The sequence below is a fragment of the Homo sapiens genome, chromosome 1 (assembly GCF_000001405.40).
Source record: "Homo sapiens chromosome 1, GRCh38.p14 Primary Assembly".
NCBI classification, from domain to species: domain Eukaryota; kingdom Metazoa; phylum Chordata; class Mammalia; order Primates; family Hominidae; genus Homo; species Homo sapiens.
Genome location: NC_000001.11, coordinates 156452224 through 156472769, shown reverse-complemented (window position 1 = coordinate 156472769; position 20546 = coordinate 156452224). Strand labels below are relative to the sequence as shown.

General features: G+C 51.0%; 1 protein-coding gene across 22 annotated transcripts in view, besides 7 other annotated features; it reads left to right on the top strand.

Moving 5' to 3' along the window:
* The window catches only part of MEF2D (myocyte enhancer factor 2D), a 37049-nt gene extending 28006 nt beyond the window's left edge, over positions 1 to 9043 (top strand). For 21 of the 22 annotated variants that reach the window (XM_047421004.1, XM_047421009.1, XM_005245169.5 and 18 more), the window contains 3 exons: positions 3750 to 3990; positions 4471 to 4777; positions 5114 to 9043. In XM_047421004.1, coding sequence (XP_047276960.1) covers positions 3750 to 3990; positions 4471 to 4777; positions 5114 to 5125 — 560 coding nt within the window. In that variant the 3' untranslated portion in view covers positions 5126 to 9043. Of the gene's footprint in view, positions 1 to 3749; positions 3991 to 4470; positions 4778 to 5113 lie in introns of those variants that run through there. The other variant, XM_047421015.1, reaches the window with a different exon arrangement.
* Positions 8902 to 9851: an enhancer, noted in NCBI's record as "H3K4me1 hESC enhancer chr1:156432711-156433660 (GRCh37/hg19 assembly coordinates)". NCBI's record gives its function as "activates a minimal SCP1, AML or CMV promoter by ChIP-STARR-seq in naive H9 embryonic stem cells {active_cell/tissue: H9 hESC(naive)}" and the evidence as "EXISTENCE:reporter gene assay evidence [ECO:0000049][PMID:30033119]".
* Positions 9852 to 10803: an enhancer, noted in NCBI's record as "H3K4me1 hESC enhancer chr1:156431759-156432710 (GRCh37/hg19 assembly coordinates)". NCBI's record gives its function as "activates a minimal SCP1, AML or CMV promoter by ChIP-STARR-seq in primed H9 embryonic stem cells {active_cell/tissue: H9 hESC(primed)}" and the evidence as "EXISTENCE:reporter gene assay evidence [ECO:0000049][PMID:30033119]".
* Positions 14052 to 14551: an enhancer, noted in NCBI's record as "H3K27ac hESC enhancer chr1:156428011-156428510 (GRCh37/hg19 assembly coordinates)". NCBI's record gives its function as "activates a minimal SCP1, AML or CMV promoter by ChIP-STARR-seq in primed H9 embryonic stem cells {active_cell/tissue: H9 hESC(primed)}" and the evidence as "EXISTENCE:reporter gene assay evidence [ECO:0000049][PMID:30033119]".
* Positions 14552 to 15053: an enhancer, noted in NCBI's record as "H3K27ac hESC enhancer chr1:156427509-156428010 (GRCh37/hg19 assembly coordinates)". NCBI's record gives its function as "activates a minimal SCP1, AML or CMV promoter by ChIP-STARR-seq in primed H9 embryonic stem cells {active_cell/tissue: H9 hESC(primed)}" and the evidence as "EXISTENCE:reporter gene assay evidence [ECO:0000049][PMID:30033119]".
* Positions 15110 to 16067: an enhancer, noted in NCBI's record as "NANOG-H3K27ac-H3K4me1 hESC enhancer chr1:156426495-156427452 (GRCh37/hg19 assembly coordinates)". NCBI's record gives its function as "activates a minimal SCP1, AML or CMV promoter by ChIP-STARR-seq in primed H9 embryonic stem cells {active_cell/tissue: H9 hESC(primed)}" and the evidence as "EXISTENCE:reporter gene assay evidence [ECO:0000049][PMID:30033119]".
* Positions 15971 to 16020: an enhancer, noted in NCBI's record as "active region_1862". NCBI's record gives its function as "activates an Ori minimal core promoter by ATAC-STARR-seq in GM12878 lymphoblastoid cells {active_cell/tissue: GM12878}" and the evidence as "EXISTENCE:reporter gene assay evidence [ECO:0000049][PMID:35858748]".
* Positions 16161 to 16210: an enhancer, noted in NCBI's record as "active region_1861". NCBI's record gives its function as "activates an Ori minimal core promoter by ATAC-STARR-seq in GM12878 lymphoblastoid cells {active_cell/tissue: GM12878}" and the evidence as "EXISTENCE:reporter gene assay evidence [ECO:0000049][PMID:35858748]".

Here is a 20546-nt window from a genome sequence, read left to right as displayed (position 1 = left end):
CCACTGCACTCCAGCCTGGGCAACAGTGAGACTCCATCTCAAAAAAAAAAAAAATTAGCCGGGCGTGGTGGCACACGCCTGTAGTCCCAGCTACTTGGGAGGCTGAGGCAGGAGAATTGCTTGAACCTGGGAGGTGGAGGTTGCGGTGAGCCGAGGTTGCACCACTGCACTCCAGCCTGGGCAACAGAGCGAGACTTTTGTCTCAAAAAAAGGGAAAAAAAAGAAAAATCCAGAACCCAGCCCTCTGTGTAGGAAAGCCCCTCGTGGCAGGTTAAGAGAGCTGGAGGGACCGCCTCATGTTGAGGGACCAGACTCTGGCTTGTGTGTCTGTGTGTAGTTACCACCCAGGTGTCTTTGAGCCCCTTCTCCCTTGCATGTGCACCCATGTGTGTGCCCAGCCCCAGGCTACGATGTCCTGGCAACTTCACAGATGGCTGCTTCAGAAGACACACGCTGTGGGCCCGTCTCCCCATCTGTAAGAGGAGTGGGTAGACAGGAGGTCTATGAGGCTTTTCCAGCCCTGCCACTGGGCCTCTGGGGCCCAACCAGAAAAACCAGCCCTGAGGGTGGGGTGGCCTGGGGACAGGGACAGTTGGCGGAGGGCAGCTCAGACCACTTTTTAGACCACTTTTCTGGAGCTGTTTATCAGGTACTCTGTGAGGGTGGTTTTCTGTTTTTCTGCCATCTTGTTGGGCCCACAGTCTTTTGTGAAGCAGGAGGAAAGTTAGTTGGTGTCAGCCAACCTGGGACAGGCACTCAGGAAGGCTAGACTTAAAGATTCTCATCTGTCACTCTGGCATGAAAGCAGTTTCTGCCCCTGGGCCGCCCTTGGAGCCCTGCTGGGAAGTGTGTGAGATTTCTCATCTCCTCTCAGAGACCACAGGCTCCCTTTCCTCTTGTTACAGGAGCAGCTAAGCAGATCTCAGTTTAAACAGCAGGTGTTTTCAGGTGACCCTAGGTGTGTAAACAAAACCCCAGTGAACACATTGCTGTTTAGTTGTTCACTGTTTACAGTCCTTGGCTGCAGTTCAAGTTCCGGCTGGGGGTAATCGGGCTATGGTAATGCCTCATGTGAGGGCCTGGCCCCTTGTTGACACTGGCCGCAGAGGCCTGGCTGTGGTGGCTCTGGGAGCAGACCAGTAGGCTGCCAGGTGGCCTTGGGCCATGGTCCTCCTTGGGGAGCCAAGCCTCCCAGTAGTAGATAGGGCTGGAATCTGGTGGAACAGTGCAGGGCTGGGAGCTAGTCTCCATCACTCACTCACTGAGGGGCCTTGGGCAAGGCACTGTACTGTTCTGGGCTTGGCTTCCTAGTTTGTACAAGTGTTAGAAATAGTTGATTCTGGCCGGGCGCGGTGGCTCACACCTGTAATCCCAGCATATTGGGAGGCCAGGGTGGGCAGATCACGAGGTCAGGAGTTCAAGACCAGCCTGACCAACGTGGTAAAACCCCGTCTCTACTAAAAATACAAAAATTAGCTGGGCGTGATGGTGTGCGCCTATAATCCCAGCTACTCGGGAAGCTGAGGTAGGAAAAGCGCTTGAACCTGGGAGGCAGAGGTTGCGGTGAGCCGAGATCACGCCAGCTACTCAGGAGGTTGAGGCAGGAGAATTGCTTGAACCTGGGAGGTGGAGGCTGCAATGAGTGGAGATCGCACCACTGCACTCCAGTCTGGGCAACAGAGCGAGACTCTGTCTCAAAAAAGAAAAGAAAAGAAATAGTTGATCCTAGGGCCCGTTTCTGCCCTTGCTCTGCTTTTTTAATAAGCATTTCAAAACTCCTGACCAACGTTAGGAGACTAGAGCCAAGCACAGATCCCCCTCTAGAGAGATTTAAAGGTAATAGAGTCCTGGGGTCCTGTCTTAGCTCTGCCGCTGGCTTTCTCCATGACTTGGAGCCTGTTCCTCAAACTTGAGGCTGCAGTTGCCTCATTTGTAAAGTAATAATAGATAAATCTTTTGATTATTTTCTATGAACCAGATACTGTTCTACATGCTTTTTGTGTATTAACTTGCTCAGTCCTCACAACAGCTGTGTGATGTAGGTAGGATTATTACCTCCAGTTTATAGGCAGAGTAAGTAACTTACCCAAGGTCACATGGCCTAAGTGGAGGTAGCCTGGAAGTTTGACCTCATAGCTCATGCCTTTAACCTTATTGCTATATTGCAGAGATAATACTGTCTTCCCTGCATAAAAACAAAGGGCTGGAGCAAATGACTCCCTGAGTAATAGCATACTGGTGGGGTATTGGGATGATTGAGGGGTGCGTTCCCTATCACAGCACTCCCACTACCACAGTACAGCCTCAGGGAGGACATTTTCTTTCTTTCTTTCTTTCTTTTTTTTTTTTTTGAAACAGAGTCTCGCTCTGTTGCCCAGGCTGGAGTGCAGTGGTGCGATCTCCACTCATTGCAGCCTCCACCTCCCAGGTTCAAGCAATTCTCCTGCCTCAACCTCCCTAGTAGCTGGGATTACAGGTGCGCGCCACCGCCTGGCTAATTTTTTGTATTTTTAATAGAGATGGGGTTTCACCATGTTGGCCAGGCTAATCTTGAACTAGGGAGGACATTTTCTAAACTGTCCCAAACAGGATACAGCATGAAACAATAGTGCTGTGTAAATCATGAAACATTCAGTGATTCTATTTATTCTGTGACAGTGCAACCATCAGTTTCTTCTTTAAGGTAGACATTTTATGACGTAATGAACACCCCCTCATGGGGAGATCTGCTGGAACCTTGGCCAGCTGTGCTCCCGGCATGGTACCCTTGCAGCCCCTCTGCCCCTTGGGCATGAGGCCAAGACATAGACCTTCTCTACTTATCTGTTTCCATCTTTTTATTTTTTTAAATTGTTATGAAAGTGATACCTACACATGATTTTTTTTTTCTTTTTGAGACAAGATCCCACAGGCTGGAGTGCAGTGGCATGATCATAGCTCACTGCAGCCTCAACCTCCCAGGTTCAAGCAAGTCTCCTGCCTCAGCCCCCTGAATAACTGGAACTACAGTGCACCCCACCACCCTAGCTAATTTTTAAGCTATTTGTAGAGATGGAGTCTCCTTATGTTGCCCAGTCTGGTCTCAAACTCTGGGCTCAAGTGGTCCTTCTGCCTTGACCTCTCAAAGTGCTGGGATTATAGACATGAGCCACTCGCCCAGCTGTTTTTTTTTTTTTTTTTAAGTTCAACACTATTTTTAAAAACCACCTCTTGGTCGGATGCGGTGGCTCATGCCTGTAATCCCAGCACTTTGGGAGGCCGAGGTGGGCGAATCACTTGAGGTCAGGAGTTTGAGACCAGCCTTGCCAGCATAGCAAAACCCCATCTCTACTAAAAATACAAAAATTAGCTGGGCGTGGTGGCATGTGCCTGTAATCCCAGCCATTTAGGAGGCCGAGGCAGGAGATTTGCTTGAACGTGGGAGGCAGAGGTTGTAGTGAGCCAAGATCACACCACTGCACTCCAGCCTGGGCAATAGAGTGAGACTCCATCTCAAAAAAACAAAACAAAACAAAAACCACATCTTTTCATCCTGTTAAAACACAGCACCTCATGGTTATTATGACTTAGGTTTCTTTAACTCTGAGTACCGTCTTCACTGAATTTTTGTGGTCTTCTTGAATTCCTTACATCTGTCATTACACACTCCCTGTCCCCTCATCCCCACAGTCCTCCTGGAGGCAGCTCCCTCATAGGAGCCTGTGTGCTCTCCCCAACTCCAGGTTCATCCTCACTTTTCCTCCATGCAGATTACCAGTTGACCAGTGCAGAGCTCTCCTCCTTACCAGCCTTTAGTTCACCTGGGGGGCTGTCGCTAGGCAATGTCACTGCCTGGCAACAGCCACAGCAGCCCCAGCAGCCGCAGCAGCCACAGCCTCCACAGCAGCAGCCACCGCAGCCACAGCAGCCACAGCCACAGCAGCCTCAGCAGCCGCAACAGCCACCTCAGCAACAGTCCCACCTGGTCCCTGTATCTCTCAGCAACCTCATGTGAGTCCTGGGGAGACTGCATGTGAGTGTGTGGGAAGGGAGAATTGAACGGGAAGAGGAGGGACCTCTTGGGAGCTGGGTTCCCTGCAGGGTTCTAGTGGACATCCTATGAGGCTGTGCACTGCACAGTCTGTTAGGCAACAGTGGCACCCCTGGGCTCTCTTGTACAGACCCAAGAGGCTCACCCTGAACCCCTTCTGAGAGCCAGCCCCAGGGTAGGGGGTGGGAGGTGGGGGGCCCTGTGTTGCAGAAGATGACATGGGATGGAAAGAGAACTAATATTTCTTATTTCCCTTCTCTTCCCTTCATTCGACCCTCTTCTGATCACTCTCCATCCAATTGCCTCTCCCCAACACCCCATCCCCCATATTCTCATCCTCTTGTTCTCTCTCACTTTCTGTCTGGTGTCCTATCACTTGTTCTGTCACTCACCCCCTCTGTTTTTATCCCTTGTACCCCATTTCCATTGCCTGCCTCCAGCCCGGGCAGCCCCCTGCCCCACGTGGGTGCTGCCCTCACAGTCACCACCCACCCCCACATCAGCATCAAGTCAGAACCGGTGTCCCCAAGCCGTGAGCGCAGCCCTGCGCCTCCCCCTCCAGCTGTGTTCCCAGCTGCCCGCCCTGAGCCTGGCGATGGTCTCAGCAGCCCAGCCGGGGGATCCTATGAGACGGGAGACCGGGATGACGGACGGGGGGACTTCGGGCCCACACTGGGCCTGCTGCGCCCAGCCCCAGAGCCTGAGGCTGAGGGCTCAGCTGTGAAGAGGATGCGGCTTGATACCTGGGTACTGTAGCATCACCTCTCCTGTCTGCCAGTGTCTGCTACACCCAGGGACTGCCCCGCGTGCCCCCTAACCTGTTTTATTTCCCACCCAAGAGGCCTTGTGGCCGGCTACCCCTTCCGCCAGCCCTTCTAGGGCAGCACCAACACCCCTTCACCCCTGCCAAAGGCCCATCTTCTCCCTCCCTCCAGCATCAGTCCTTCTGCTCGATGACTTCTTCCCCTCACAGCTGGCCCTGCCACTAGAATCCTGGCCCTATGGGGAGAGGGGAGTGGGGGGTGCATACCCAAAGCCTGGGCCACCCCCTCACACCCCCTTCTCCATCTCCTCTCTTCACAGACATTAAAGTGACGATTCCCACTCCCCTCCTCTCAGCCTCCCTGATGAAGAGTTGACAATCTCACCGCCCGCCCTTCCCTGCCCCGGGCTCCTCCCGCTCGACCCCCACTTCCTTTCTTGTGCTTCGTGTCCTGTTGACGGTTACATTTGTGTATAATTATTATATTATTATTATTATTATTATATTTTTTTTAATTTGGATTCTCGCTTTGGAGAGGGGGATGCTCTCATCCCCTCTTTCTGTACCCCCCACCATTTTCACTGGCTGGGGGGCTCTCTTTTTCGCGGGAAGGGGGGACACTTTGCACGTTGTACACATATGCTGCAGGAAGGGGGTGGGGGGCCCAATAAGGCCTTTGGGAAAGGACAGGTGCCGAGCCCTGCATGTGGAGCCCTCCCACCCCACCCCCAGATAGAGGGAAATAACCAAAAAACTACCAAACAACAGAAACCCACACTCTAGACTGAAACCCCAAAGTGGGCTTGATGGGTGGGTTTGTGTTTCAAGGGGAAAGTGAGGCAGAGGTTCTGAAAAGGGTCTCTGTTTTTGTGTTCATGTAGCCATAGGCACATGGAGCAGAATACTTAAGCCTGGCCCCCAAATGCCCCTGCACACACACGTGCCACACCTGCGCTGATTCTTGTGTGTGCTGCACCCCCAAGGTGTGTGGGTGCTGGCTGAGCTTTGGGCCGGGAAGGCAGCCTGGGAATCTGAGGCTGGAGACAGGGGTTTGAGGTGGGGGCCTCTCTGGAAGCACATTTGGAGGGAAAGACAAGAGAGCCATGAGGAGAGGGCTGAGGAGGGCAGAAGGGCTAGGCAGGGGGCAAATTGAGCCCCTCCCTTCCCCAGTTTTTCTCTAAGATATACAGTGCAATAGCTCCCCACCCCTCAGTTGACGCCAGCCCTGTAAAGCTGGCCACAGTGTGCAGGGAGAATGGGGAGAGGGTCTTCAGTGAGGTGGCTGGGGCGAGAGTCGGCCTGGACTTCCCTGGGGTGCTCCAGGCCAGAGCTCTTTCATTGGGGCGAGTGTGGTGAGGGGACGTCCTTGGTCTTGCACGCACACTACCTGGGGGAGTCAACACTGGGATGGTCTGTGGGGTGGGAGGGCCTACGGATGGGTCCGTAGAGGTCCCACCTCCCTCATTCCTCCTTGGCCCCTCTCCCTAGCTTCTCCTGTTAGCTCCTTCTGCTCCTGACCCCACCTCCTTGCTCTTGGCGCCCCTATTGTCTCTGGCTACCTCCTTGTCCCACCACCTCCAGGCTGCATCCCACCTTCCCTCTTGGCTACTGTAATTGTAAATAGCGACCTTTGGAAAACGTTAGCGGTGTAACAGTCCAGGAAACTGTTTTTTTTTGTTGTTGTTGTATTGATATGAAATGAGATTCTATTTTTGTCAAAGTATATTGTAATAATAATGACTCAAACGGCCCGTACTGTACAGACGAGATTCTTCTGCTGTTGTTCTTGCTCCCCTCCCCTCCTCTGAGTCCGCCCCTCCCTGCTGCCTCCTCAGTGGGGCAGTGGGCAAGGGGCCCAGGGGCAGCCGAAGCACGGGGTCCTGAGACCTCAGGCAGGATTGGAGATCAAACCAGAGGGGGCAGGCCCCCAGCCTGCTCTCTAGGATCACCCCCCGCCCTAAGGGGCCTGGCCTGGGGTGACGTGGCCAGGCAGACTGTCTGCCCCACTCCTTCACACAAGCCCAGCTCCTCTGCCCAAGGGGTGCGGCGCCCCCTTGGGGTTTCCTCCCAGTTGGAGAGTAGAGTTAAGACAAGGCCCAGTTTTGTGTTAGCCGACCGTCTTTGCCCACCTCTATGACCCAGCCTCTTGCAGTATTCCCATACTTGATGCAGGGAAGGAACCAGAAGCAGAGGGGCCTCTACGCAGGTACACACGTGTACCTGAGTGTGTTCATGAGGGCATCTGGTGTTTATGTGTCTGAGTGTAGCTTTGTATTTATGTGTGTGTGTGTGTGTATGTCTGATTGCACGGGTGTACTTTTGTATTTATGTGTGTGTGTGGTTGCACGGGTGTGCCTCTGTGTGTCTCTGACCCTGGCTGGGTGTGTGTGCAAATCTGTGTGACTGGAGCTCTAGGGGCATCTCTGTGTCTGAGTGTGCCTGGTGTGTGTTTACAAAGGGAGAGTTGGCTGCTCCAGCTCCACAGCCCTGGGACCCCAACTCCTGTCTTCCCTGCTCCTTTCCCTGTGTTCACCCTCAGCTCTGACACATTGAACTGCAGTTGGGGGGATTGGCAGTTAGCCCTCTGTGCTTCTCCCTGCAGCCCTACCTCTGCCAAGGTCTCTCCCTCCAGGGACCTCTGCTTCCACCCACATATGTCCACTTAGTCACCCACACTTGACACAGTTCCTGGAGTACCCTCTTCCCCCAACCCCAGACCTGCTTTCAGAGCAAAACTCAAGTCCCTCTTCCTCCGTGAAGCTTCTCCCTCAGCTGAGCAGTGATCACTTACTCACTCTTAACCCCAATCCGCTGACTGGGTGGGGACAGCACGTCCAGCCTTCCCACCTCTCCTGCAGGCTTCTAGACGGAGTTTCAAAAACTGATGAGCCTCGATCCAGGGCTTGAAAGAAGCCAGGGTGTAATCTTGTTCATGCATGCGTCCCCAGAGCCTCGCCCAGTGCCTGGCACATAGTAGGCACTCAATAAATGCTGAATGGGTGAATAGTTGAATGATAGGTGCTCAATAAATGAATGAATGGCCTTCCCTTCTCAGGCTATTCCCACCATTAGTCTGCCCACCTTTCTAGGCTGGGCTTGGCCACCATTAAACACGGGGTGGGGGTGAGGGCCCCTGCAATTCACGGTGCAATATTCACCAGTTTTGCCCTCTGCCTCATAAAGGCAAACCTGGCTTTTGATTACCATGTGTGGATGTTTCAGTGTCCTTTCTTCTCTGTCCCTGGGGATGGGGTGGTCTGTGAATATGTGACATTTCTGCAGTTCAGTATCCGAAGGTTTCTCTTGGGGGTAGGGGCTCCTGGGCGGCCAGATGAATGGGTCCCTGGGAACCCAGACCTCAGATGAGGACTTAATGTCTTCTTCCTCTCAAGCCAAATTCGCCTCCACCCACTCCCTCTGAAGAACTGGGCATTTGCCAAAGTAACCACTGGAGTCATCTAATGGCCCTCCCCCTCCCCAGGTTTCCCACAGCTTTCAGGGACAGTGGGCAAGAGGACACCCCCCCCCACCACCTCAGTGGAACACACCATTCTCCCCCCCTCAACAGCACACTCAGTGCAGCAAGACTGACCCCTGACCCCCTCCCAGCCCTCCCTACCTTGGACAGGAAGGAAGTAATGCACCTTCTCTTGCTGATTATTTATTTGTTTGGAGAGACAGAAATGTAAAAGTGTATCTAGAAATATCTATATCTCTATATATTTTTAACTGACTCTTTGGAATCCCCTGGGGTGGGGTGAGGGGTAAGTTTAGGCTTTCGCGGAGGGGAGGAGACATGGAGCCTGGGAACTCCTTGTTCTCCCCTCTGCTGCCTCTCCCCACCCCTTAAAGCAGTTGGTAGAAGGAATGGTATTTGTATGGGGGGAGGGAGGCTGGAATGGAGAATCTGGATTCTCTCCTCTTCCCCATTCTCCAGAGGGAGGGAGGTGGTGAGGAAGAGGAAGGGAGGGGCAGGATGGGCCATGGAGGTGCCCCACCCCCACACCTGACAATCACCCACACTCCTGGGGCTCTTCCTGGGTCCTGGGGCAGGGCGAGTCCAAGTGTGAGGCTGTTGATTTGTTTTCAATATTTCTTTTCGTGCTGTATGGTGATGCTTTCTTAGTATTCTACACAATAAGAAAAGACAAAGTCCTCGAGATTCTTATGAGTTTTGTTTGAAAACTCTTTCACTATATTTGTTGTAAAGAGGTTTACTATTAAAAGAAAAAGAATACACGTTTCTGATACTTCGGCGTGGGTTTTGGTTTCTTTGGTGCCGCGAGGATGGGAAGGAAGGACTGGTGTGGCCCCATCAGGGTGAGAGGCAGTGCTTCATCTCAGCAGGGAAGAATGGGGGGCGGCCTTCAGGGCGGGGCACTTCCACATGTCTCAGGTGGGGTTTTCAGGTGAGAATTTCTTCTAAGTGTTCTGTCAGAAGGAGGCAGCCCCAGCCCACACTAAGGAGGGATTGCCCAGCTAGAAGCCTCAGGAGGGATTCTGGGACACAAAAATAGAAATGCCACCCAAGGTTGAGTTCAAACCAGAATGGTGTTGGGGGTGGGAGTTGGCACGGTGAGGACCTTTGACTGCTGAAAGCCTTCCTCAGCAGAGACTTGCCCGGGCACTATGTTAGGCACAGGTGGATTCCACCCTCGTGCTCCTCACAGCATGCTTCCCTCCAGCAGAGGAAGCCGCTCTTGCCCTTTCAAAGTGCTTTAACAGTGCCAAGGAGCCTCTTTCTCCCCACCTGACACACCCCACAGGACCACCCCACCCCACTCCGCCATGCCTTCCAGCCAGGGTCGTCTTCTCTTAAACTTGCCTCCTTGGCCGGGCACGGTGGCTCACGCCTGTAATCCTAGCACTTTGGGAGGCTGAAGCAGGCAGATCACCTGAAGTCAGGAGTTTGAGACCAGCTTGGCCAACACGGCGAAACCCCATCTCTACTAAAAATACACAAATTAGCTGGGCGTGGTGGCATGCATCTGTAATCCCGCTACCTGGGAGGCTGGGGCAGGAAAATCGCTTGAACCCAGGAGGCAGAAGTTGCAGTGAGCCGAGATTATGCCATTGCACTCCAGCCTGGGTAACAGAGCAAGACTCCATCTCAAAAAAAAAAAAAAAAAAAAAAAAAGGCCGGGCGCGGTGTCTCACGCCTGTAATCCCAGCACTTTGGGAGGCCAAGGCGGGCCTCGGGATCACCTGAGGTCGGGAGTTCGAGACCAACCTGACCAACATGGAGAAACCCCGTCTCTACTAAAAATACAAAATTAGCCGGGCGTGGTGGCACATGCCTATAATCCCGGCTACTAGGGAGGCTGAGGCAGGAGAATTGCTTGAACCTGGGAGGCGGAGGTTGCGGTGAGCCGAGATGGTGCTATTGCACTCCAGCCTAGGCAACAGGAGTGAAACTCCGTCTCAAAAAAAAAAAAAAAACCCTGCCTCCTCCCTCATACCTGGCACAGCCGTGCCCTGGGGCAGATGGAGCGGCTGTGGAGGAAAGCAGATCCGGCTTGGCTTCCTCCGAACAGGGTGTGGCTGCTTCTCTGTACCTAGCCCAGGTGCTGCAGAGGCGAACGCGGAGTGTGAGGGGCCATATACGATGGCAGAGACAGGCCTATGAACGCCTAAAATCCATGAAGCATGGTTAAGGCTGTGGGTGCTAGCCTTAGTTGTGGGAGCACACAGGAGTCAGGCTTCATGCCTTGGGTTTCCTCATCTGCAAAATGCCGATGACCATCTGTACTGGTCCTGCTTCCCTCATACGGTCATTGCAGTCTTCCCCTCACTTCTCCCTCAGTAGAGGCAGAGAGGAACGATGAGCTGAGCAGGAAGGGGTTAAGAGGATACCACCCTCTAGAGGAGGCTCCCTGTTGGTTACCTGCTCCCCTGTAGCAGCTTCCAAGATGACCTCCAATTATCCCTCCCTGGTATTCATGCCCTTGTGTGGTCCCCTCCCTCAGTGAATCATGGTTGGTATGTGTGTCCAATTAAAAAAGGCAGAGTGATGGCATGTGACTTCCAAGGCTAAGTCATGGCTCTACTCTCTGTCTCTCGCTAAGTCATGGTCTCTCTCTCTCTCTCCCTCTCTCTGTCTCTCATTTGCCCTGGAGAAAGCCAGATCCCATACTGTGGGACACTTAAGCAGCTCTATGGAAAGGCCCACATGGCAAAGAACTGAGGCCTTTTGCCAACCACCATCTGAGTGAGGCCATCCTCTCCTCTGTCCTTGTAGTTCCCAAAATTCTGCAGACATTGGTACAGGTGAGAACCCACTGGTACAATGTACACTGTAGCTCAGCCACAGCCATGAAGAGAGGACCACTCTCTTCTGCACATCTGCTGTTGGTTCCTCAGACTGGCCTGGCCTGTACCTCCTTCCTTATAGGCATCATTCCATGATGTCTTGGGTAGGCATTAGTTTCGCCCACACATATTTCCTGTTCTCTTCCCTTCCTGGACACACAAAAGGCCGTGCATCCCAGTCCCTGTATAGTCAAGTGGGGTTATTGGGCTAGTTCTGGGCAGTAGCCTATAATGGGAAGTAATGTGTGTCCCTTCTGAAATGCAGCTAGTGCCTGATTCTTCAAACACTCTTTCCCTGTTGTGGGAATTGCAGAAGCACGTGTTGAGGAGTGCTAGCAGATCAAAGCAGCCTAGACGGCTAAGCTGCCCTAAGGTTTTGTCCAGCACGAGTGGACTTTGTGTGAATAGATAGTAACTCTGTTTTGTTAAACTACAGTGATTTTGAGTACTGTGTCTGCAATATAACCTATCCTGACTGATAAAGTATCCCTCTCACACTTGGACAACCTTGAAGCCTGATCTACTGTATACTCCTTGTTAGTGTGGCACAAGGATCTCTGAACTTGGCATAGTCCAGAACTAACTGGTTCAACTCCTAGTTCTGCCCCTTACCAGCTGTGTGGTCTTGGGTAGTCACATTCTTCTTAAGCCTCTGTTTCTATAAAACAGAGCTAATAGCTGCTTGTTTTCTCTCACCCCCCACCTTCCCCGTTTCCAATCCATCCTCCCCATCTTTGGCCCAGCTCTGATAATCTAACATGTCATGGTTCTCCACTGCCCACCATCTAAAGTCCTAACTCCTTGGCCTTGCTCCCAAGGCCTTCAAAGAGCCAGCACAACCTCTTTTCCAGGCTTAGTCCCTATGGCTCCCTCTGCATCCCTTGAACTCTAGGCAGACCAGACAGCCCTATCAGTTCCCTGACAGATCCTTTGTGGTATGGCTCACGCCATAATCTGTCTGAAATCCAACAAACATACTGTGTGAAACCTTGTGTTAGGCACTGGGGACACAGGAATGAGATAGCTCCTACCTCTAGGCAATTCACAGTCTAATGGCCACAAGAGATAAGTTAACCAACAGTTTATACTTAAGTCTGTGTTAAATGTCACATAGAAAGAATGTAAGTGGGCTTTTGGGATCAGAGATGTGGTACACCCAAATCCAAACTAATGAAAATGAGAGGAGGCTTCTCAGAGGAGGTGCTTGAGCTGGATTTTGAAGACATATAGGAGTCGCCTGGGCAAATGAGAGTAAGGAAGACATTCCTTATGGCAGGAATAACACATAAGGTATGGAGAGACTATGGTGGCTTCAGGAAATCAAATACTGTGGTGCAGGTCAAAGGAACAGCACATAGAACCGAAGAGGTAGGCAGAGGCCCCGTTATGAAGGGCCTTGATTGCCAAGACTTGGACTTTATTCTGCAGAAGATGTTTGGTCATCAAAAGATTTTAAGTAGAGGAGGGATTTGACCAAACTTGCATTTCAGAAAGCTCCTGCCAGTAAAAGTTCCCCTCTGACAGTAATGCTGAAAATCAACTGGAAAGGAATGCCGCATTGGAGGCAAGTGGCCTGTCAGGATGCTCTACAAGTAGAAATAGTGAGAGCCTACACCCAAGGAAGTCGTAGACAGAAGGATGGAGAAAAAATGAGTTTTGTAGATACTGAAGAGAATACTTACTACTGCTACTAGTCAAAGACGTGAAAATAAATGAATTTACTTGGTTTAGGTAAGAAGAGGTCTAGCAAAAAACTGCTCTACCACGCCTATTTCTATTTTCGCAACCCTTCCTATCTTTAAGGTTTTACTCCTACAATTTTCCCATCATGAAACTTTTCCTGATTTCTCTCCCTCCCTTGTCCTGCCCAGCTGGCTGTGGTATCCTCCAATGAAGTGTCTCAGGAATCTGCCCCCCTCTTTTTTTTTTTTTTTTTAAGATGGAGTCTCGCTGTATCACCCGGGCTGGAGTGCAGTGGCATGATCTAGGCTCACTGCAAGCTCCGCCTCGCAGGTTCAAGCGATTCCCCTACCTCAGCCTCCCGAGTAGCTGGGACTATAGGCGCCCGCCCCCACGCCCGGCTGATTTTTCCTATTTTTAGTAGAGACAGGGTTTCACCATGTTAGCCAGGATGGTCTCGATCTGCTGACCTCGTGATGTGCCCTCCTCGGCCTCCCAAAGTGCTGGGATTACAGGAATGAGCCACCGCACCCGGCCAGGAATCTAACCCTTCTTTATAGCACCTACCTCATTTTACCTGGAAATGTAGGTACCAGTTTCTGTTTTCTCTCTACAACCGTAGTGAAGCTCCTTTTAAAAATGCACTGCCAGCCAGGCACGGTGGCTCACAGCTGTAATCCCAGCACTTTGGGAGGCCGAGGCAGGTGGATCACCTGAGGTCATAGTTCAAGACCAGCCTGGCTAACATGGTGAAACCCCGTCTCTACTAAATATACAAAAATTAGGCCAGGCGCAGTGGCTCAAGCCTGTAATCCCAACACTTTGGGAGGCCAAGCTGGGCTGATCACGAGGTCAGGAGTTCAAGACCAGCCTGACCAACGTGGTGAAAGCCCATCTCTACTAAAAATACAAAAAATTAGCCGGGTGTGGTGGCGGGCGCCTGTAGTCCCAGCTACTCGGGAGGCTGAGGTAGGGGAATCGCTTTAACCTGGGAGGCAGAGGTTGCAGTGAGCCGAGATCGTGCCACTGCACTCCAGCCTAGGCAGCAGAGCAAGACTCCTCAAAAAAAAAAAAAAAACAAAAATTAGCCGGGTGTGGTGGTGCGCACCTGTAATCCCAGCTACTCGGGAGGCTGAGGCAGGAGAACAGCTTGAACTCGGCAGGCAGAGGGTGCAGTAAGCCAAGATCGTGCCACTGCACTCCAGCATGGGTGACAGAGCAAGACTCTGTCTTGGGGGAAAAAAAAAGAAAAAATGCACTGCCTTGTCCATGTTTGTATCTGTCCCCATGCCTGGCACACAGTATGTGTTCAGTGGGGCTAAAATGAAATAATGCATGTGAAAGTGCACTCTGTAAACTGTGGAGTACTACAAACCCTATAGATTTTTTAAAATAATACTCAAGAGCATATAACTTTTTGCAGCTTCTCCTTTACTTTTCAGCTGCAAGATCAGCTCCTGAAGCAGCACAGATCCTTAGGGTCCCAGTTTTCTGGACTCAGATATCGGTGCACAGAAGAATTAGCACCCACTGGGCTCCTGTATCCAAAGAGGTGGCTCTTGGTAGGCAGGAGGCAAAGGGTGGTATTTGTTCCAGCCAAGAAGGCCAGACCACTTCTCTGTAGCTCATGTTCTTCTGACTCACACCCCTCAGTCCTATGGGCTGAGTAACTTTTCCAGCCTTGTGATTGTGGAAACTTGTTTCAGAACAGCATATGTGAAAGGGACACTTGGGCGACCCCACCCCAGGTCCCAGAATGGCTCACTTCTACTGGAGCCAATACAGCCCCCTCATATCAGCCCCTCGTATCTGTTTGCAGTCTTTTTTTTTTTTTTTTTTTTTTTTTTGAGAGTCTCGCTCTGTCACCCAGGCTGGAGTGCAGTGGTGCGATCTTGGCTCACTGCAACCTCTGCCTCCTGGGTTCAAGCGAGTCTCCTGCCTCAGCCTCCTGAGTAGCTAGGATTACAGGCGCGTGCCACCACACTTGGCTAATTTTTGTATTTTTAGTAGAGACGGGGTTTCACCATGTTGGTCAGGCTGGTCTCGAACTCCTGACCTCGTGATCTGCCCTCCTTGGCCTCCCAAAGTGTTGGGATTACAGGCGTGAGCCACGGCGCCTGGCACTCTGTTTGCTGTCTTAAATCACTGTGTCACTATCCAAAGTCCATTCCCCTGCCCTATTTCACACTTGGTAAACCAGAGGCCCAAGAGGAAAAGGAGGCAGTAGGAAGCTCCTACAGCCTCCTGCACTTCTCCCTGCTAGGTCTAGTTCAGATCAGCCTGGGAGGGGGCGCTCAGGAGTTAGTGCTTCCAGTCGGACTGATTTACATTTGACAATCCCCCGCCCCCCGTCACCCCCTCCACCCCGCCACCTTTGCTTTGTACTTGCTGCCAAGTATTTAGAGCTCCAAGGGCTTCGCTCGGGCAGTTTGTTTGGTCTCATAAAGTGCGGTCCCCGCCTTCGTAGGGGAGAGTCACTTCTATTTACTGTGCATCAGCCGCCACGTGCCCCATAAAAGCTGGTGACGACGCTGTCGGCCCGAGCTGGGAGGGGAGGGACCCCGCCTACGGGAAGGTCACGAGCCCGCCAGGCCCCGCCCTCATGTGACCTGCGGGGCCCGTCCTCGCCTGTGTCACTACCCTCGGCGGAGAGCGAAGGCTCGCACCGGCCGTGGCATCCAATCCCTGTCCTGCCAGCTATAGCCGGGCGGGGAGGAGGGAGCGGTTCCGGGTTCAGAAAGAGAAAATCTCCATCTAAGGCGAAGGGGTAGAAGGGAGGTCGAGGGAAGGCAATAAAGTCACTTGTTTAATCTCCTCTATGCTGTAAAATCCCCGAAGGCAGAAATCACATAGTCCTAAGTGTATGGCACACAGAAGACGCTCAATAAATGGCTGATTGGCAACTGGCCATCGGACCCTGCTCGGATGCAGCGCCAGTCCCGCCGCCCTACGCAGCAGTCCCCTCACCCCTCTCCCCCGGCGTCCTCCCTGCTGTGACAAGGCAAATGAGACAATGGGTTCGGCCAACCAACGCTTCCAAGCCTGCGGCCCGCGGCCGGGAAGTGTCCTCAATCCGCTCGTCTAACACTGCAGTGGGTGCGGCCAAAGACCCCAGTCCACTCTCCGCGCCCCTGCCAATGGGCGGGAAGCGGGGCCTCAGCCTCACTGCGCTGGCTCTGCCAGTGGCAGACGGAATCATCAGCCAACCGCACCCGGGCAGGACGCATGCGCACCCAGAAGATGTAGCCCTAGATGGGGAAAAACCGAGCCGAGAGAGCCAATTTTGGCTGGGTCTTGCCAGGTCTTGCCAGGTCTTCCCGGAGAGGGTGCGCATGCGTAAATCGAACACCTCCTCTAAATCTAACGCCCTGCTCAGTTCTAGAGGGGACAGCGCCCTCTGTCCTCCTGGCCGTTTTCCTGAACTCCTAACCTCAGTCAATACTGCCTCGGGACCTGGCGCTGCCTGGGAGATCCAGAAGAAAGGAAGCATCTTGGCCCCTGCCTTGGGGGCGACACGACCGTCCCCAAACACAGCGAGTCACTGGCCTGGGTCTTTGTGCAGAGGCCCCTCTAGGAGCGGGGAACCAACGATGGCACGAACATTGATTTGAGGAGGATGCTTCGCAGTTTACGAAGTGAGTTATATCCATTGTCTCAGAAGTTCCTCACAAAAAAACAAAACAAAACAAAACAAAAAACAGGTTGTCAAGTAAAGAAGCTGACGCTCAGGAAGGTGAAGGGGACGAGTCCAAGGACACTGCCGGTCAAGGTGAAATGGCCTGGAACCCTGGCGACCCAACTCCCCATTCAGTGCTCTTTGTTTTTATTTTGTTTGTTTTTTGAGACAAGGTCTTGCTCTGTCGCCCAGGTTGGAGTGCAGTGGCGCGATTTCGGCTCACTACAACCTCCGCCTCCCGGGTTCAAGCGATTCTCCTGCTTCAGCCTCCCGAGTAGCTGGGATTACAGGCGCCCGCCGCCACGCCCGGCTAATTTTTTTGTATTTTTAGTAGAGACAGGGTTTCACCATGTTGGCCAGGCTGGTCTCGAACTCCTGACCTCAGGTGATCCGCCCGCCTCGGCCTCCCAAAGTGCTGGGATTACAGGCGTGAGCCACTGCTCCTGGCCCCATTCAGTGCTCTTCTACCATGATAAGCAGTTTCCTTGCTCTCCAAGAAGCTTGTGTTTAGTTGGCCTAACGGCACATAAGATCAAGAAAAAGGCAGTTTCAGTCTTTCTTTTTTTTTTCTTTTTCTTTTTTTTTAATAGAAAATGAGTGCTAGAGGCGTTCAGAAACGGGAAAGATCACTTTGTGCTCCTGTGATCTGAAGGCTGCGTGAAGAAGATGAGGCTTGGAAAATAGGTACAAAGTACATAATCGGAGTGGATCAATCTTAGGAACAGGCCAGGCTCAGTGGCTCACGCCTGTAATCCCAGCACTCTGTGAGGCCAGGGCGGGAAGATCACCTGAGCCCAGGAGTTCCAAAACAAGCAAAATTAAGCAATATTGTGTTTACATATATGATAAAACTTTGGGAAAAGCAAGGAATGATAAGCACAAAATGTATTAATAGTTACCGTAGAGAGATTGGGGATGGGAGGAGAAAAAACACACAGGTGGATGCCATTGGTAATGGTGCAGTTTTTGGGATAAAAGGTAGGTTTATGGGTATTAACCTAATTAAGTATATAACACATGTATACATTATAATTATTCTTTTGTATGTATAAAATGTAATTTAAAAGATGATAATGGAATCACAGCCTCCCACCCCAGTACATTACATAGTTGAAGAGAGGGAAAGCTGGCCGGGCGTGGTGGCTAATGCCGGTAATCCCTTGCCTTTGGGAGGCTGAGGCGGGTGGATCACTTGAGTCCAGGAGTTCGAGACCAGCCTGGGCAACATGGTGAAACCCCATCTCTACTAAAGATACAAAAATTAGCCGGGCACAGTGGCGTGCACCTGTAGTCCCAGCTACTTGGGAGGCTGAGGTGGGAGGATTGCTCGAGCCCAGGAGGTCTAGGCTGTAGTGAGCCGAGATCACACCACTACACTCCAGCCTGGGGGACAGAGCAAGACCCAGTCTTCAATCAAAAAAAAAAAAAAAAAAAAAAAAAAGAGGAGGGAGCTGGAGGGGAAAGCCTTACATGTATTGCCCTTAGTTAAAGAGCATTTCTACACACTTTATACCAGGTGATTCTCACAAGAAGGCTTCAATAATCTCCATGTTAGAGATGAAGAGACTCAAGTAACTGAAAGTTACTTAAGGCCAATGGGGACCCTGTGCAGCTATATATCCAGTGTCCCAAGCACTGTGTCTGGCATGTTAGTAAACATGTTTCATAGGTGAGTGACAGAACTTTGTAATTACCCTGGTGTCTGCTAGTGAAATGAGCTGCCTCTGAAGGTAGGGAGTGCCCTGCACAGCAGCTGGCTGACCATTGTCAGGATCAGAAGTAATATAGAAACAATTCTGTCTTCAGCTGAAGTTTGGATATAGATAACCTCTGAGGTTCTTTTCAACTATAAGGCTCTATGAGTCTTTCAGAGGCTGAAGGCAAAACCGTATTAAGATAATAAGTTTGTCCACTTCCACTAGGGTCGTAGAAGTGGTTGCCAAAGAAAGGCCTAGATTAAAAAGACTTTTTTTTTTTTGAGACAGAGTCTCACTTTGTCACCTAGGCTGGAGTGCAGCGAGCATGATCATAGCTCACTGCAGCCTTGAACTCCTGGGCTCGAGCGATCTTCCCGTCTCAGCCTCCCAAGTAGTTGAGACTACAGGTGCACACCACTGTATCTGGCTAATTTTTAAATTTTGTAGAACAGAGTCTTGTCATGTTCCCCAGGCTGGTCTTGGACTCTTGGTTTCAAGTGATCCTCCCTCCTCAACCTCCCAAAGTGTTGGGATTACAGGCGTGAGCCACTGCATCTCACCCCCAAAAAACATTTGGAAGGACAAGTTAACAGGACTTATTGCCAAAATAGATATGAAGTATGTTGTTATGGTTATGTATATTGTTGTGTGTTGTATGTGGCCACAGGATTTTTGATCCACCCTAACTGGAAGAAATGCCTAACAGGCAATTAACAATATGGGATAGTGCTCAAGAGAGATAAGGGGTGATATGTCACACTGAGATATAAGGGAAAGAGCACTGGAGTTGGAGTTAGGAGACCTGATTTCTAGACCTAACCTTGTCTTTAATTAACAGTGTCATCTTGGACAAATCCCTTCATTTGCATAAGTCTATTCCCTCATATAGTAAAGATACATACGTGCAACGATAGCTATAAGGAAGAACGTGCCCATCCCCTTCTTAAGATCCTACTCATCTAGTTAAAAAAACAGATATCCAGTATTAAAACTTGGCTTCTCGGGCCGCGTGCAGTGGCTCGTGCCTCTAATCCCAGCACTTTGGGAGGCCGAGGCGGGCGGATCACGAGGTCAGGAGTTCGAGACAAGCCTGACCGACATGGTGAAACCCCGTCTCTACTAAAATACAAAAAATTAGTCGGGCATGGTGGCATGCGCCTGCAGTCCCAGCTACTTGGGAGGCTGAGCCAGGGTAATCACTTGAACCTGGGAGGTGGAGGTTGCAGTGAGCCGAGATGGCGCCACTGCACTCCAGCCTGGCGACAGAGCGAGGGTGCGTCTCAAAAAAAAAAAGAAAGAAAAGAAAAGAAACTTTGCTTCCCTCTGTTGTCCCATAATATTATGTTCATTTCTCCATTATAGGACTTACCACATTACAGGACAGACCACAGTGCATGTCTGTCTGCTCCAACAGAAGTGGCTTTCTTGAGGGAAGGAATTCTGCCTTGTTCAACTTTATATTCCCCCACAGTGCCTTGCAGAAAGTAGGAGCCCAGAAAATGTGTACTGAATTGCTCAGAATTGTGTGGTGAGGTAGAAAGTATTGCTTAATCTCTCCGAGACCTCAATTTCCTTATTTGTAAATTAAACTGCTGATTAATTTCTAAAGTTCTTTTGAGTTACAGAATTCTGTTACCCAACAAGGTTTCAGAGATTGAGAAGATTGAATTATTTGATTTCTAAATTCTTTTTCAACTTCAATATTAAATGATTTTATAATACCGAGTTGCAAGTGATCTACATGGAAATGATAGCTGAACAAGTTATCAGAGGAAAAACATGTGGGAAAAGATTGAGAACAGAAGTAACATCTAGCTATCCAATACGAGAGAGAGAAGCCACTGAAAGTAACATGGAAGAGTCAGTCTGAAAAGCAGGGGAGATAATAATAGAAGGAGTGACAGAATCAGATGCCTAGAGGACTATCATGCAAATGAGTGAAGTGGTCCAGTGGTAAGCGTTAGGGAGTTGTGGAGACTGGAGAGGCCATGGCCCATCTAAAGTCAGCTGTGTCATGTTACCAATGTGAGTGTTGCCACATCTTCCAGGTTTTTGTTTGTTTGTTATTGTTGTTTTTGTTTTTTGTTTTTTTGCGACAGACTGGCTGTCACCAGGCTGGAGTACAGTGGCGTGATCTCGCCTCACTGCAACCTTCACCTCCTGGGTTCAAACAATTCTCCTGCCTCAGCCTCCCGAGCAGCTGGGATTACAGGCGCACACCACCACACCTGGCTAATTTTTGTGTTTTTAGTAGAGACGGGTTTCACCATGTTGGCCAGGCTGGTCTCGAACTCCTGGTCTCAGATGATCCACCTGCCTTGGCTTCCCAAAGTGCTGGGATTACAGACATGAGCCACTACCCCTGGCCTAGTTTTTAAGAAGCTGGTAATA